Consider the following 16522-nt stretch of genomic DNA (forward strand, 5'->3'; position numbering starts at 1 on the left):
TACCTGTAAAATTGATTTTCATGTAAAAAGAACACAAATTTTTATGTACTATCCACAGGAAAAACTGGGAATATTATTCTCTTGATACCTTTCTGAGGAATATTTCAGAGTACAAGCTTCAGACAATCAAAATAAATAGAGATACACTGACCTAAGGACTCTTGATGTGCATAAAAGATAGAGGTGCCTGTAGAACTAAGACTACGTGAGGGCTAAAGGAGAGAAAGTATCATAGGAAATGGCTATATGTGCTGAAAATCTAGATACAGTTCGAGTTCCAAGGAGCAGGGAGCCATATTTCCACAGTTAAAAACAGATTAGAGATGTATCGCATTTCTGGTTAGCAAATAGAGTCTGGAAGTTGTCACTACCATGCTCACAGTAAGAAAAAGGCTGAGCAAACAAAACAAAAAACTATTCCGTAGATTCATCAGAAAATTGAGGTCACAGGGCAAGCCACCATACTGAAAACTAGAGACAGGCAAACACAGAGAATCACAGCATACTAGGAGCAGAAATACCTGCTGGAGCCAGCAACTGGTAAGGATGCTTCAAGGATAACTGCCTAATTGCCAGAGACTGAGTGGTAGACTAGTTTGAGAGATTAAAAACAACAACAAAAAACAACTTCTGGGAGCCTGGTCTTAAGGGGTCTCCTGTACTTTGCTGAGTTTTACCTCCAAGAGCCCTATCGGTTTCTCAGGGTGAAAAAATTAGATAGGAAAAAAAAATCCCTTTGTGCTTCATGGAAGGGGAGAAGAGCAACCACTGTGAAATAAGGCCAAAGTATTCTGCTCTCCTTAACAAAGGAGAAATGATTTTAGCAGAGCCTAGGCTACCTGGGTTTTACCAGAGCCTGACCAATAGGAAGTAATGGAAATACCCAACTCCAGCCCGCTCACACCTTCCTGTCTCACTTGGGGGACATGCAGGGAAGCTGAGAAACAGCTGTGAAGGTCACAGCCAAGGCTCACTAAAGGACAGAGATCTAAGCACAGGATTACAGAGCATTTCCCTTTTCCCGATCCTGTCTTGTCAGAAGGGCTCCTATAAAATAACATGGAATTATGGCAGAACTTCAATGCTCACACAGTATTTAAGGATTCAACAGGGAAACTCTAAGACAAAAGGGGAGGAAAAAACAAGGAAGACAAAAGAGAAAATGTTACCCTCTGACACCCACAGCTACAAAAATGTGAGAACTCACACTAAAAGCCTGTTTACCTCAGTTCATTTTACCCAATGCATCATGTCTGGCTTACAACAAAATTACAAGCTACTCTAAAAAGAAAAAAATACAGGCTGAAGAGAGAAATAAAGCAAAAGAAGTACACTTGGATATAGCAGATATTTTAAAGTTATCTGACTGGTACTTTAAAATTACTATGATTGATATGCTAAGAGCTCTAATAGAAAAGGTAGACAAAATGCAAGAAAAGATGGGTAATGTCAGCAAAGACAAAAGCCCTAAGAGAGAACTGAAATACTAGAGATTACAAACACTGTAACAGAAATAAAGAGAGCCTCTGACTGGCTCATTAGTAGAATGGATACAGCCAAGGAAAGAATCAGTGATCGTGAAGACATGTCAACAGAAACTTCCTGAACTGAAAAGCAAAGAGAAAAAAGAAGAGTGGAAAAGTGAAACAGAATATCTAAGAAAATGGGAAAATTACAAAAGGCATAACATGCACATAAAGGGAATATAACGAGAGAAAGAACAGAAAAAAATATTTAAATAACTCAGAATATTCCAAAATTAATGACAGAGACCAAACCACATATCCAAGAAGCTCAGGGAACACAAAAAAGGATAATTACCAAAAAATCTACACCTACACATATGACATTCAAACTGTAGAAAGTCAAAGACAAAGACAAAATATTGAAGGAAGTCAGAGGAAAAAAACAAAACAACAACAAAAAAAAAACCTTACCTATAAAGAAACCAGAATAAAAATCACATTGGATTTTTCTTAAGAAACCATGCCAGCAATGGGGTAAAATATAAAGTGCTGAAGGGAAAAACACCCTCCAATCTAGAATCCTGTATTCAATGAAATTATCTATCAAATATAAAGAAATACTTTCTCACCAAAATAAAAATTGAAGAGACATAAAATGTGCTAAAAACAAGCTCGTCACAGAGAATAAAAACAATACAGCAGAAAATAGTGTCTACATAAAGGAAGAGTGTTAAAGAATGAATAAAAGTAATATAAAATGGTGTATTGTTCTTATTCTTAATCTAACAGATAACAGATTGTTCAAAATAGTAACAGCAGCAATGTGTTGGTTGATTATAGTTTACGGATAAGTGAAATGAATGTTAGCAGTTCTATAAAGGACAACAGGAAGGAACTGGAAATGTTTGATTTTAAGGCATCTGCACTGGCTCTGAAGTGGCACAGTGTTATTTAAAAGTGAGTTGACATTCATTGTAAATGTATATTGCAAACTCTAGGGCTATCATTAAGAAGTTTTTATTCCTTGCCTTATCCTCCTTCTAAAAAAAATAAATTTTTGGCTGGGCGCAGTGGTTCACGCCTGTAATCCCAGCACTTTGGGAGGCCAAGATGGGTGGATCACGAGGTCAGGAGATCGAGACCATCCTGGCTAATACGGTGAAACCCCGTCTCTACTAAAAATACAAAAAAAATTAGCCACGCATCATGGTGGGCGCCTGTAGTCCCAGCTACTCAGGAGGTTGAGGCAGGAGAATGGTGTGAACCTGGGAGGCGGAGCTTGCAGTGAGCTGAGATCACACCACTGCACTCCAGCCTGGGTGACAGAGCGAGACGCTGTCTCAAAAATATATATAAATAAATAAATACATACATACATTTTTACATGTAAGTTTGCTGAGAGGAGAGAAAATGGAATATGTTTTGAGTAGAGAAAATGAAATCATACAACATGCTCAATTAAAGCCATGGAAAGCAGAAAAAGAGCAGAAGACAAAAAAAAAAAGAACAAGGGCAAGAATAGAAAACACTTATTATGTAGGTATTAATCTAAGCAATATCAATGATCACATTATATGTTGATAACCAAACATATCAATTAAAAGACTATAAAAGACTATCAGGGTGGATTTTTCTAAAAGAAAAAAAACAGGATCTAACGATATGTTATCTATGAGATATCCACTTTAAATATAAAATATAGAAACAAATTAAAAGTAAAGGGATGGAGAAAGATACATGACACTGAACACTAAGCAAAAGAAAGCTGGAGTAGTCATGTTAATTTCAGACAAAGCTGACTTCAAAGCAAGGAAGATTATCAGAAATAAAAGGGGATATTATATAATGATTAAAAGGTAAACTTTCCAAGAAGACACAGTAATCCTTAATGTGTATGCATCCAACAACAGTGTCAAAATAGCAAGACAAAAGCTTACAGAAATGCAAAGAGAAAGAAACAAACCCACTATTATACTTGGAGACTTCAACACTCCATTCTGTTAGTAACTGACAGATCCAGCAGGCAGAAAATCAGTAAGGGCAGAGTTAAAAACACAACACCACCATCAATCAACTGGATATAACTGGCATCTATAGACTACTCCATCCAACACAAAAAAACACATTCTTCTGAAGCTTGCACAGAACATTCATCAACATAGACCACATTCTGGGCCATAAAACACCCCTTAAAGAGAATAGAAATTATATAAGCTCTCAGTCCACACTGGAATTAAACTAGAAATCAAACAGAAAGATAGCTGAAAAATCCCAAAACATCTGGTCATTAACAATGTATTTCTAAATAACACGTCAAAGAAATCTCAAAAAATTTTTTAAAATATTTTAATTAAATGAATATACTACTTATCAGAATTTGTGAAGTGCAGGGGCTGGGCGCAGTGGCTCAAGCCTGTAATCCTAGCACTTTAGGAGGCCAAGGCAGGCAGATCGCGAGGTCAGGAGATCAAGACCATCCTGGCTAACACAGTGAAACCCCATCTCTACTAAAAATACAAAAAATTAGCTGGGCATGGTGGCGGGCGCCTGTAGTCCCAGCTACCTGGGAGGCTGAGGCAGGAGAATGGCATGAACCCGGCAGGCGGAGCTTGCAGTAAGCGGAGATCACGCCACTGGACTCCAGCCTGGGCGACAGAGGGAGACTCCGACTCAAAAAAAAAAAGAAAAAATTGTGAAGTGCAGCAAAATCAATGGTAAAGGAAATTTATAGCATTAAATGCATGTATTACAAAACAAGAAAGTTCTATTAGGTTGGTGCAAAAGTAATGGCTAAACGGCAATTACTTCTGCACCAACCTTATAAAATCAATAATCCAAACTTCTACCCTAGGAAACAAGAAAAATGAGAATGAATTGAACTACAAGTAAACAGAAAAAAAATTAATAAATATTAGGGCAGAAATCAATGATACTTAAAAGGGGAAATCAATAGAGAAAATGTCTGAGTCCAAAATCTGGTTTTTGGAAAAGATCAGTAAAACTGGTAATCCTCTAGGGAGGCTAGCCAAAAAAAAAAAAAAAAGAACTAATTACTAACAACAGAAATGAAAGAAGGGCCATTACTACTGATTTCATGGATGTTAAAGGGATAATAAAGTAACATTATGAACAACTCTATGTCCAAAAATGTTATAACTTAGATAAAATGGACCAACTGCTGGAAAGGCATAATCTACCAAAACTCACACAGGGAGAAATAGATCCTTTTAGTAGGCCTACGTCTATTAAATAAATTGAATCAGAAATATTAATAACCTTCTAAAATAGAAAGCACCATGCCCAGATAGGTTTACTCATGAATTCTATCAAACATTTAAGGAAGAAACTATACCAATTCTCTACAATGCCTTTCAGAAAACAGAAGCAGAGAGAACAATTCCTAACTCATTCTATGAGGTCAGCATTAAGTCAAAGACATTACAAAAAGGAGAAACTACAGAGGAACATCTCTCATGAACATAGATACAAAAATTCTCAACAAAGCATTTGAAATTAATTCAAAAATGTATTAAGAGTATACACAATGACCAAATGGAACTTACTCCAGGTATGCAAAGGTGGTTCAAATTCAAAAATAAAAGCAATCCATCACTTCAAACAGGCGAAAGAAGAAAATCCATATGATTATATCTATAGATGCAGAAAAAGCACTGGACAAAATCCAACACCCATAAAAACTCTTAGCCAACTAGGAATAGAGGAAAATTTTCTCAACTTAATAAAAAAATCTACAAAAAACCTACAATTAATACGATACTTAATGGTAAGGAACTAGTTTCTTTCCTACTATGGTTGGGAACAAAGCAAGGATGTCACCTGTCACAACTTTTAGCCAAAATCATATTGGAAGTCTTAGTTAATGCAGTAAGAAAAAGCAGAAAAATGTATGCAGATAGGGAAGGATGAATTAAAACTGTCTTTATCCACAGATAATATGATGTCTACATAGAAAATCCCAAATCATCAACAAAAAAGAACTGAAACTAATAAACAACTACAGCAAGGTTGCAGGATACAAGGTTATATACAAAGACAACTGCTTTTCTATATAATTAGAATTTTAAATTAAAAACATATCATTTACATTAACACCAAACAAATGAAATAGTAAGATATATAGCTAACAAAATATGTACAAGATCTATATGAGAAAAGTTTCAAAACTAGTATGAAACAAATCAAAGACCTAAATAAACTGTGAGATAGCCCATGTTCATGAATAGGAAGACCCAACATTGTTACAATGTCAGTTCTTCCCAAGTTGATCTACATATCAATTCCAGTCAAAATACCGGAAAGTTTATGGATATCAACAAACTGATCCTAAAATTTACATGGAAAGGCAGAACAGCCAATGCAATATTGAAGAAAATACAATTGCAGCATTGACACTGCCCAACTTCAAAACTTAGAGTATGGTATTGGTGAAACAATAGACAAATAGATCACTGGAATAAAATAGCCCAGAAATAGACCACACTAATACAATCAACTAATCTTTAGCAGAAGTGCAAAGGCAATTCAGTGGGAAAAGGAGTCTTTTCAACAAATGATGCTGAAACAGATGGACATCAACACACACAAAAATCAATCTAGACAAAGACCTAACACCTTTCACAAAAATAAACTCAAATCACAGACCTATTATATAAAACACAAAGCTATCAAAATTTCTAGATATAACAAAGGAGAAAATCTAGTTGACCTGAGATTTGGCAATGACTTCTTAGATACAATACCAAAGGCACAACTTATGAAGGAAAAACTTGATAAGTGGGACTTCATTATATTTAAAAATTTCTGCTCTGTGAAAGATATCATTAGGGAAAAGAAAGACCAACTCAAACAAGGAGAAAATATTCGCAACACACATACCTGATAAAGAACTGGTATCCAAAATATGTAAAGACGACTTAAAACTCAACAACAAAGAACCCAATTAAAAAGTACATAAAAGATCTGAATGAACATCTCACCAGAGAAGATATACATATGGCAAATAAGCATATGAAAAGATGCTCAGCATCATATAGTCACTAGGGAATTGCAAATGGAAACAATGAGATACTACTGCATACCCACTAGAATGGCTAAAATCCAAAACACCACCACCACCAAATGCTGGTGAGGATGTGGAACAACAGAAAATCTCATTCTTTATTGGTAGAATGCAAAATAGTACAGCCACTTGAGATGACAGTTTGATAGTTTCTTCCAAAGCTAAACATAGTCTTATCACATGATCCAGTAATCACATTCCTAGGTATTCACCCAAAATCTGCACAAGAATGTTTACAACAGCTTTATTCATAATTGTCCAAATTTAAAAGCTGCCAAAATGTCATCCAACAGGTGAATGGATAAGCACAGTGTGGTACATCCAGACAACTGAGTATTATTCACTGCTAAAAAGAAATGAGTTATCAAACCACAAAAGGCATGGAGGAATCTTAAATGCATATTGCTAAGCAAAAGTAGCCAATCTGTAAAGACCTTATACTGTATGATTCCAACTATATGACATTCTGGAAAGGGTAAAATTATAGAGACAAAGGCAAACTGTAATATTTCAGTGGTTGTCTGAGATTTAGGAGGTAGATAATGAGGGAGAGGGGATGAAGAGGTAGAGCTGAGAGGATTTTTAGGGCAGTGAAACTGTTCCATATGATACTGTAATGGTGAATACATGATGTTAATTTGTCAAAACCCATAAAACTATACTATATAGAGTGAATCTTGATGTTAGCTATAAACTTTAGTTAATAATAATGCATCAACAGCCAGGCCAACATGGTGAAACCCCGTCTCTACTAAAAATCAAAAAAAAAAATGAGCTGGGCGTGATAGCGCATACCTGTAATCCCAGCTACTTGGGAGGCTGAGGCAGGAGAATCACTGGAACCTGGGAGGCAGAAGTTGTAGTGAGCCGAGATCGCACCATTGCGCTCCAGCCTGGGTGACAGAGCGAGACGCTGTTTCAAAAATAAAAATAAAAACAATAATGCATCAATATTGGTTCAGCAATCATAGCAAATGTAACACACCAATGCAAGATGTTAATATGGAAAACTAGGAAGGGGAGATGGAGGAGAGATGTGAATCTGTACTTCCTGCTCCAGTTCTCTGTAAATCAAAAAGTGCTCTTAAAAAAAAAGCCTATTTTTTTTCAAAGAGGGAGAATGAAGATAGCATATGCATAAAACAATTGTTTTTAGCAATACTGACATTAGTAAAATTAGTATTGTTAATTGTGTGTTGGGTACCAAACACGTGATTGTGAGATGTTCTAATTCTATCATCACCAAAATCTGTGAGAGGCAGGGTTCTGAGAGGAAGGGAGAAGGCCCAGATGAGGCATAGAAGGAGTTAAATAAAAGCTTTGCAGTCTGTTATGTATTTCCATTGGAACTACCAGTATAAGCTCACGATGCTGGCAGTCTCATGACTTAAAGGGAGAGTGATTGGGAAGAGCAGGAGCTCCCAACCTACTAACGTTTCTTGCTTTGAAAATCTGTCAACTTGTACTGTCATATATGCACTTATCTATGTGAATACTTCAGTAAAGCTTTTTGGAGTAGGATTTTTTAAAAACTATGTGTAAGTATTTTCAGAAGATGAAGGTTCCTGTTTCCTTGGTTCAAATGGTATCAAGATAGGTAGGTTGCGTCCCTGAATGCATTCCTAAATTGATACAGAATCATTAGCCCAGACAGGGTAGCTACCATAGCTTCTAGAACATGACCAGATGGCCACAGGCACTCAGCGTGCTCGCTGAATTAGCTGTTCATCTTCTTCTCTTCCACAGGGTATGTGTATATGACTGTCAGAAATGAGTAAGGCGAAACAGGATAAGCTAAGAACACTGCTTCTGAAGTCTGCTGGTGTGGGTTCAAATCTGGGCTCTACCACTTATTTTCTGGGTGACTTTGAGCAAGTTAATGAAGCTCTCTAAATCTGTTTCCTTACCTATTAGATAATAACAATTAAACTGTGAGGTTTGAAAGATTAATCCATACAGAGGGCTTAGCACAATGCCTGGGACATAGTAAATGTGTGTGTGTATTAATACACCCCATGCATATATGGCATGTTATTTCGATCATATTATCTATTATTTTCATCCTCCTAACAAAGGGTGAACAACTTTATAGAATACAAATATATAATAAATCATATAGGTATCTTTGACACGGCCTAAAGACTTAAGCACTTACAGCTGTTTTATTATTTGTTCATTTATTTTGAAACAGAGTCTCACTCTTGTCACCCAGGTTGGAGTGAAATGGCGTGATCTTAGCTCACTGTAGCCTCCATCTCTCGGGTTCAAGTGATTCTCCTGTCTCAGCCTCCCAAGCAGCTCGGATTACAGGCATGGGCCATCATGCACAGCTAATTCTCATATTATTAGTAGAGACGGGGTTTCACCATGTTGGTCAGGGTGGTCTCAAACTCCTGACCTCAGGTGATCCACCCACCTTGGCCTCCCAAAGGGCTGGGATTGCAGGTGTGAGCCACTGCACCCGGCCTCACTTACAGCTGTTAAGAAAACCAAGTTACATAGACTACCATTCAAATATTGAGATTGCAAACCATATTACCATTCTCTGGTCTGCACTATGTCCTGAAAAACCATGAGGCCAAACCCCCGTTGCAAGTAATTGCCCGTTCTGATGTGTGCCTTTCATTTGACCTCACCCTTAAAATTATAAGCTACACAGAGTCCAAAGGAATAATTAATGTATATGCAGAGAAATAGATGAAATAAAAAGGATATTTATGAGGTATGGGTACTATAACTAAAACTACCATTTAATGTAATTCGCGTTTATTCTGTTTGATACATGAACCAATATTTCCCCAACACAATCTTTTCCAGCACCATACTTGGTACTGTTTTAAGCTAATGTTCTAAGTTTGAAGACAGAAGAAAATGAATTAATATATGGTATAAAAAGATCTCACATCTGTTCATTCCATTCTGTTAAGATTAATAGTTTTTTAGGAAACCATGAAGAAAGTGGGGAGGGTTCTGCTAATACTGATCAGATGGAGATTAAGTTGCTTCTTATGTTTTCCTCAATAGTTGAAGCTCTGCAACCATCCTGTAAATCCAAGTTTCCAAGCTGGCAGGGTTTTCAATTATTATCCATACCAACTGTAGCACTGGTTATAATGGCAAAGCAGTGGGTGTTATGGTTTCTTATGGTGAAAATATAACTACTTCACATCTAATAAACACCTTATCGTCATCTTAACACAGCAAATAATACTTTGTCACTAGATAATCTTAAAATTCAATATAAGGCTGGGTGCAGTGGTTCATGCCTGTAATCCCAGCACTTCAGGAGGCCAAGGTGGGCAGATCACTTGAGGTCAGGAGTTCAAGACCAGCCTGGCCAACATGGGAAAACCTCGTCTCTACTAAAAATACAAAAATTAGCCGGGCATGGTGGTGGGCACCTGTAATCCCAACTACTTGGGAGGCCGAGGCAGGAGAATCACTTGAACCCGGGAGACAGAGGTTGCAGTGAGCCAAGATCGCACCACTGTACTCCAGCCTGGGCAACAGAGACTGTCTCAAAAAATAAAAAAATTGAAAAAATAGAAATAATAAAATTCAATATAAACTGCCAGGCTCTGCTTACATAATGCCTATCATAAAAAATACATTCAATAAATTGTTATTGCAGGACATAGAGTATTTTAATTATTACTGGAAAAATTACCAGTTTCCAAAGCATGTCTTTCATTCTCAACAGAAACTTGGCCACAAGCACATCCCAACAAAAATCCTGCTGCTGTTCCCCCAGCCACCCCCTGGGCTATCCACAGCTCTGAACTCACCAGTGTGTGGCCATAGCTGTTCCTCTTGACCCCAGCACACTGGGCCCAGCCACCCAACTTCTCCTGGGAATTCTGAATTAGATGAAGAATGAGGCAGTGGGTGTGCGGGTACAATGAGACCATGAGACAGGTGGGCAAAGACCACTGAGAAGTACCATCACTAAGATTTCCTAGAAATAAAGAGATATTGTTTTGCATTGGTTATATCATCACAGATAAAACGGTTTTTAAAATAGTTATGCACCGCTTAATTATGTTTCACTCAACAATGGACCACCTGGGAGGCCAGCGCAAGCAGATCGCTTGAGTCCAGGAGTTCAAGACCAGCCTGGGAGACACAGTGAAACCAAGTCTCTACAAAAATTATCCGGGAGTGGTGGCAAGTGCCTGTAGTCTCAACTTGGGAGGCTGAGGTGGGAGGATCACTTGAGCCTAGGAAGCTGAGGCTACAGTGAGGCAAGATCATGCCACTGTAGTCCAGCCTGGGCAACAGAGTGAGACCTTGTCTCAAACAAACAAACAAACAAACAATAGACCACAAATATGACAGTGTTCCCATGAGAGTACAATAAGGTACTGTATTTTTGCTGTATCTTTTCTATAAAGACACAAATACCACTGTGTTACAATTCCCTGTGATATTCAGTACAGTCACATGCTGTGCAGATTTGTAGCCTAAAAGCAAAAGCCTTAGTCACAAGCATACCATCTAGCCCAGGGGTGTAGTAGGCTACACCAGCTAGGTGTGTTTAGGGACACTATATGATGATCACACAATGACAAAATCATATTAAGCATTTCTCATAACATATCCCCATCATTAAGTGATGCATGGCTGTACTAATAGCGAGTATTATTAAGACCAATAGGTACCAGGTGGTATGCTAGGCCCTTATAGATATTAACTCACAACGACCCTATGAGGTGCTCTTATTATTCCCAATTTATAGATGAGGCACCTGAGGCACAGAGAGGTTAAGCAACTTGCCCAAGGTTACACAGCTAGTAACAAACAAAAAAGATGCTTACAAAAAAGCCACCGTGGCCACTGGGGCCGGAATGTCAGAGGACTGAAAAACAGTCAAATGTCATTACTGGCTCAGTTATACCAAAGAGGCTACAACTTTTGTTTCAGTGAAACATTTCCAGTTTTAACCCTATCCTACAATCAAAAATAGAAGTTGTCAGTTCCATCTTGTTCCTGATAGCTGGAAACTACTTCACTCTGGAAACCGGGAAGAAGCCTGCAGGAAGGAGACAGAGTACATGCTCTTCCTCCAGAGCTATGCTTTCTTCATTAACTAACCTGAATCTCTTTACTAAAAGCAGTAACATTCTTTCTTCAATAAATTTTTCCCAAGTACTACGCCAAGTAGAGAGACACTTCAGTTAGGTTGGATGGGATGGTGGGTCAGAACTGAGTATACTCAAGGGGCTTCCTAGAAGAGGTGACGTGAAATGGAGTCATGTGAATAAATAAGTCCTTCCTTCTTTCAACAAGCACTAACTGACAAGGGGACAAGGGCTAGCTGGAGACAGAAAAAGGAAAAGAGCTTCTCAGGCCAAGATGTGGCATGTTTAAAAACACAAAGGTGAGCACATACACACAACTTAGAGGAGTGAAAACATAAATGATTTTAAGGCCAGGCACGGTGGCTCACGCCTGTAGTCCCAGCACTTTGGGAGGCCGAGATGGGTGGATCACTTGAGGTCAGGAGTTCGAGACCAGCCTGGCCAACATGGTGAAACCCCGTCTCTACTAAAAATACAAAAATTAGCTGGCTGTGGTGGTGCACACTTGTAATCCCAGCTACTCAGGAGGCTGAGGCAGGAGAATAGCTTGAACCCAAGAGGTGGATGGAGGCTGCAGTGAGCCAAGATCATGCCACTGCACTCCAGCCTGGGCAACAGAGCGAGATTCTGTCTCAAAAAACTAAATAAATAAAAAATAAATGATTTTAATAAAGATTATAGCTAAAATTACAGGTTCTCCCCAGCTCTTTTATCTTTCCCCCAAAGAAGGTCTACATGGATGGCATGTGTTCCAGGCTTAACAAGATTTTGAGACAGCTCTTCCAGATAACCCATGATCATATTTGTTTATTATTTTGCCTGGTCCTTTAGAAAGACCACTTCCTTGAAAGCAGGTTGTTTTCCAAGATTTATCTGAAAAGTGTCAGTCTAACCTGGAAAAAAAATAATAAAGGCTTGACCACCCAGAGAGGGCAATAAACTTGAAGAGATTAAAAAATTAGGAAACAAACAAGAGAAATGAAAGAAAGTTCCTCTGGCTGCAGCTGGGATTCTGTCTCTATGGAAATGGAAGCTGATTACAGGGCCCTTCAAAAAAAAATCAGCTTCATCAACCAGCTGAAGACAGTTGCTGCTTGGGAAAGAGTTTCTACAGTGAAATCTCTTTAATACACAAAATCAGCAGCATTACAATTATGCCTGGAAGCTTTTTTTTTTTTTTTTTTAAAGAGACAAGGTCTTGTCCTGTTGCCTAGTAACAGGATCATAGCTCACTACAAACTCAAACTCCTGGGCTCAAGCAATCCTCCCACTGTAGCCTCCCTAACAGCTAGGACTGCAGACTTGCACACCACCCTCAGCTTGTTTTTTTAAATTTTTGTAGACATGGGGTCTCACTCTATTGCCCACACTGATCTTCTTGGAAGCTTTGAGAATGTGTGTGCAAATTACATGTCATGTTAAAACAAAAAGAAGGAAAAGAAATAAATCAGGACAAATTTTAAATAAATAGCTATCTATATCAATTAGAACCCTAGGCAAAAGTACCAAACACTACAGGTTCTAATAAGCCACACAAAAAATCCCAACACCATTACAAATGCCTTACCCAGTCTAGTTAATGAAGCGAAATTCTTAGTTCAGGCCATTGACTATGTTGGAACTGGGTATGTCTGAGGCATTTGGGCCTGTAGCTGGATATTCACATTAATAGTTAACATTTAATGTACATTATTGCATCTAACACTAACTAGTTAATAACTAACATTTAATGTGCATTATTGCCTTTAAAGTGAACCATTAAACCAGTCTTATGAAGTGGTTACTTAGGTTACCATTGGTTAAGGAACTTGAGGATCAGGGAGGTTAAGTAGCTTCTCTAAGGTTACATAGTACTAAGTAGCAGAATTTGAACCCACATCTATCCAAATCCAAGTTCCCCTCATATGCTCCCTGTATTCCTCTGCCTCTTACGGTAGGAACTGAGCATTTCAAGAATCTGGCTGGACTATAAGAAAACTGTAGAACCTGTCTAATATCTGTCTCCAGCCTAAGAAGTTTTCCCCATCAGAAAGCTCTTGGTACCTAAACTCCTCAAAACAGCTTTCAAAGGTAATTTGCTGTCTCTAAGGAAGTGCTGCGTTAGAAGATACAACTCTCCCAAGAAGAAAGACAGGCATCTCATATGCTTAGTAGTACAATACCTTACTGTTATCTTCAAAGCTTAATTCTTACCTTTTGATAAATTAAAATAATGAACGGAAAGCTTGAGATGCAAGAACTATTCTCTGTACATGCCAGTTAATTGTTCCCTGTGTTTAATCTGGATACTAATATATAAAACTTCCTGGTAACAGCTAAAATGTTATCAGTAAAGAAATATGGAGGAAGGTGTGGTGGCTCAAGTCTGTAATGCCAGCACGTTGGAAGGCCAAGATGGGAGGACTCCTTGAGCCCAGGAGTTTGAGGCCTAGCCTGGGCAGCATAGCAAGACCCCATCTCTACAAAAAAATAAAACCATTAGCCAGGCGTGGTGGTGTGTACCTACAGTCCCAGCTACTCAGGAGGCTGAGGTGGGAGGATCACTTGAGCCTGGGAGGTTGAGGCCACAGTGAGCTGTGAATGCACCATTGCATTCCAGCCAGGGTGACAGAGCGAGACCCTGTTTTCAGGAAAAAAAAAAAATTACACTTATAATTAATGTAGCCAAGTGAAATATTTTAATACTTGTATATATTAAGCACTGTGTCACTGTGTGTGCACTGCTGAGAACTGAGCCCTAGTGGAGGCTCCGAAGAGCATCCTGGAACCCCGTAGGCTCCGAGGAGTCCCGAGGTCAGGGAGTTTGCAGAGAGCAGCCTTGGGTCAATGTTACAGAAGCCAGAGGAAGTGGACTCTTGACATCTCCAAATTCACTTCCACCCAGCTTCCCAAAAAGCACTATTATTCTTCATTAGCTTCTTCTTTAGGAAAATTTAAGAATGATCTTGCTTTTCAGTACCCAATACTGAAATTTACTTCAGGAAGCAAGTGGCTATCTTTTCTTCCCTAATAAAAGCAATGGCTTCAAAGAGATAATAGAGCTCAACCGAAATAGCTAAGCCATTCTCCCCATTTATAAATATCACATAAAGTCTCCTCTTCAAAAGCTGAAGGGTATAAAGCTCCTCTGCTGAAAGCAGCCTCTCTCTTCTACCCAGTGAGAACGAGTGCTGGAGGGAGGAAAGCCATGGGGGCCAAGGGTCCCGCTATGCCAGGCATCATCTTCCCTATCCCCTTCTCTTTCTCCTCTGTATCAACAGTGCTCCCAATAATGACCATGATCATGGCAGAGCTGGGCAGGGGCAGCAAGGGACACACCTAGATCTTCAGTTCCAGAGGCATCTGTTCTGTTGCTGACAGCGAGGACCCTTACGGAATGCAAGAGACCAACACACACCAAGGCTGAGAAGCTAACTAGTACACAACCTAAGTTTAATGGCACGTATTTTCATAAAGGCTATGAAACGCAAATCAACTACATTTCCTCCCTTTTCCTTCTGCCAAGACGTATTAATGGCATCAACTCCAATCTCTATCCCAGGCAGGTTTTCAAACCGGGAAAAGCATGGCTTCACAGTAAACCTGACTCTGCCATTCTTTCCATGTCTCAATGGCTTTCCATCACCTTTCAGGGTCTCCTGAACATCTCCCTTCTTCTCTCGTCACATCCTGGACGTGATCTCACACACTCATGGGCCTAATCCATCATTCTTTCATTTTTTTTCATTCCTCAAACTATTTTTGAGCATCTACTGTGCTCCAGGCACTATTATAAAAAAAAAAAATGCAAGCATGAACATTGCACTGCTTTTGTCTTCCCAATGTCCCAGTGGAGAAGGGAGACTTCTAGATTAAAAAAAAAAAAAATCATTACAATCCTACGTGACAGAAGTCACAAAACAAGGCACACGTCCAACTTCACAGGGCAGGGAGTGGCTATGTTAGCTTGGTGCAGACAGAGAAGATTTTACACAGGTGGTGATGTCTAAGCTGACTCTTAGAAGTAAAACGATTTCAGGTGAAAAAGACTGAGGGTGAGAGAAAACAGAATTCGTAAAAGCACCAAGATCTGAACAAGTAGGCTCCGGTCCAGAAAGGACAATAAATTCAGAATGGCTGAAATGCCAACTGCATGGAAGGGTAAGGTAGTGTTCAGATTCGGAAAGGCCTTGTGCATCACGCCTAGAAACCTGGAGCATTACAGTCGGTAACGGACAACCTGGAAAAGTGTGGAGAGGGTTTAAACCAAAGCCACGTCAGCCTGAAGGGCGTCCGGGTGCAGGGAGGGGATGGGGCAGGGCAGGGGACTGGGAAGGGTCCAGCCCCGGTCCGGCCACGCAGAGAGAAGCAACCCCAAGTGCGACGCCGCACACACTCACCGCAGAGGGCAGCCCCTAAGAGGGTGGGCGTGCAACCACAGGCTTCGGCAGGACGCACTCCGGCTGCGACAGATGCCCTCGTTCCCTGCTACACCTGCACTAAATAACTAACACGCCCTGTCTCGGCACACCGCGCAGCTGCCAGCTCCACGCCCGAACCTACCCATATTAAGAGAACAGCTCGCTAGGCGTGGCTCCAGGGCCAGGTTCCGCCCTTAAAAGAATATGGAAGAGGCTGGCCAATCACGTACGTTATTCGGCTTCGAGACCCCGCGCCACGCTGAGGTTAATTTATCGCCGTGGCGAACACTCCGCGGTTTGGAACTCTGATTGGGCCGAGCTTGGCGCGTGCGCGCGATGTTTGGCGCGTGTTCAGTTGATGGGTCGAAGCCCAGAGGGCTGTGGGGGAAAGCAGAGAAGTTTATGGCGCGACTGCGCAAGGGAGGGTAATGGCTGAGGGTGGGTGTTGCGAAAGCTGGAAGTAAATTGCCTTCGAATGTTTCGCTTCTGTAACTGCGG

At 39.8% G+C, this 16522-nt stretch overlaps 1 long non-coding RNA gene across 1 annotated transcript in view; it reads right to left on the bottom strand.

The window, feature by feature from the left end:
- LOC105378283 (uncharacterized) overlaps positions 1 to 16195 on the bottom strand; it is a 33026-nt gene extending 16831 nt beyond the window's left edge. The window contains exons 1-3 of the long non-coding RNA XR_001747443.2: positions 16004 to 16195; positions 10332 to 10501; positions 7342 to 7459 (exon numbers count right to left, since the gene is read on the bottom strand). This is a non-coding gene — a long non-coding RNA (uncharacterized LOC105378283). The remainder of the gene's footprint in view (positions 1 to 7341; positions 7460 to 10331; positions 10502 to 16003) is intronic.
- Positions 16196 to 16522: the final 327 nt, after the last annotated feature.

This window comes from Homo sapiens, chromosome 10, assembly GCF_000001405.40.
Source record: "Homo sapiens chromosome 10, GRCh38.p14 Primary Assembly".
Classification (NCBI taxonomy): Eukaryota; Metazoa; Chordata; class Mammalia; order Primates; family Hominidae; genus Homo; species Homo sapiens.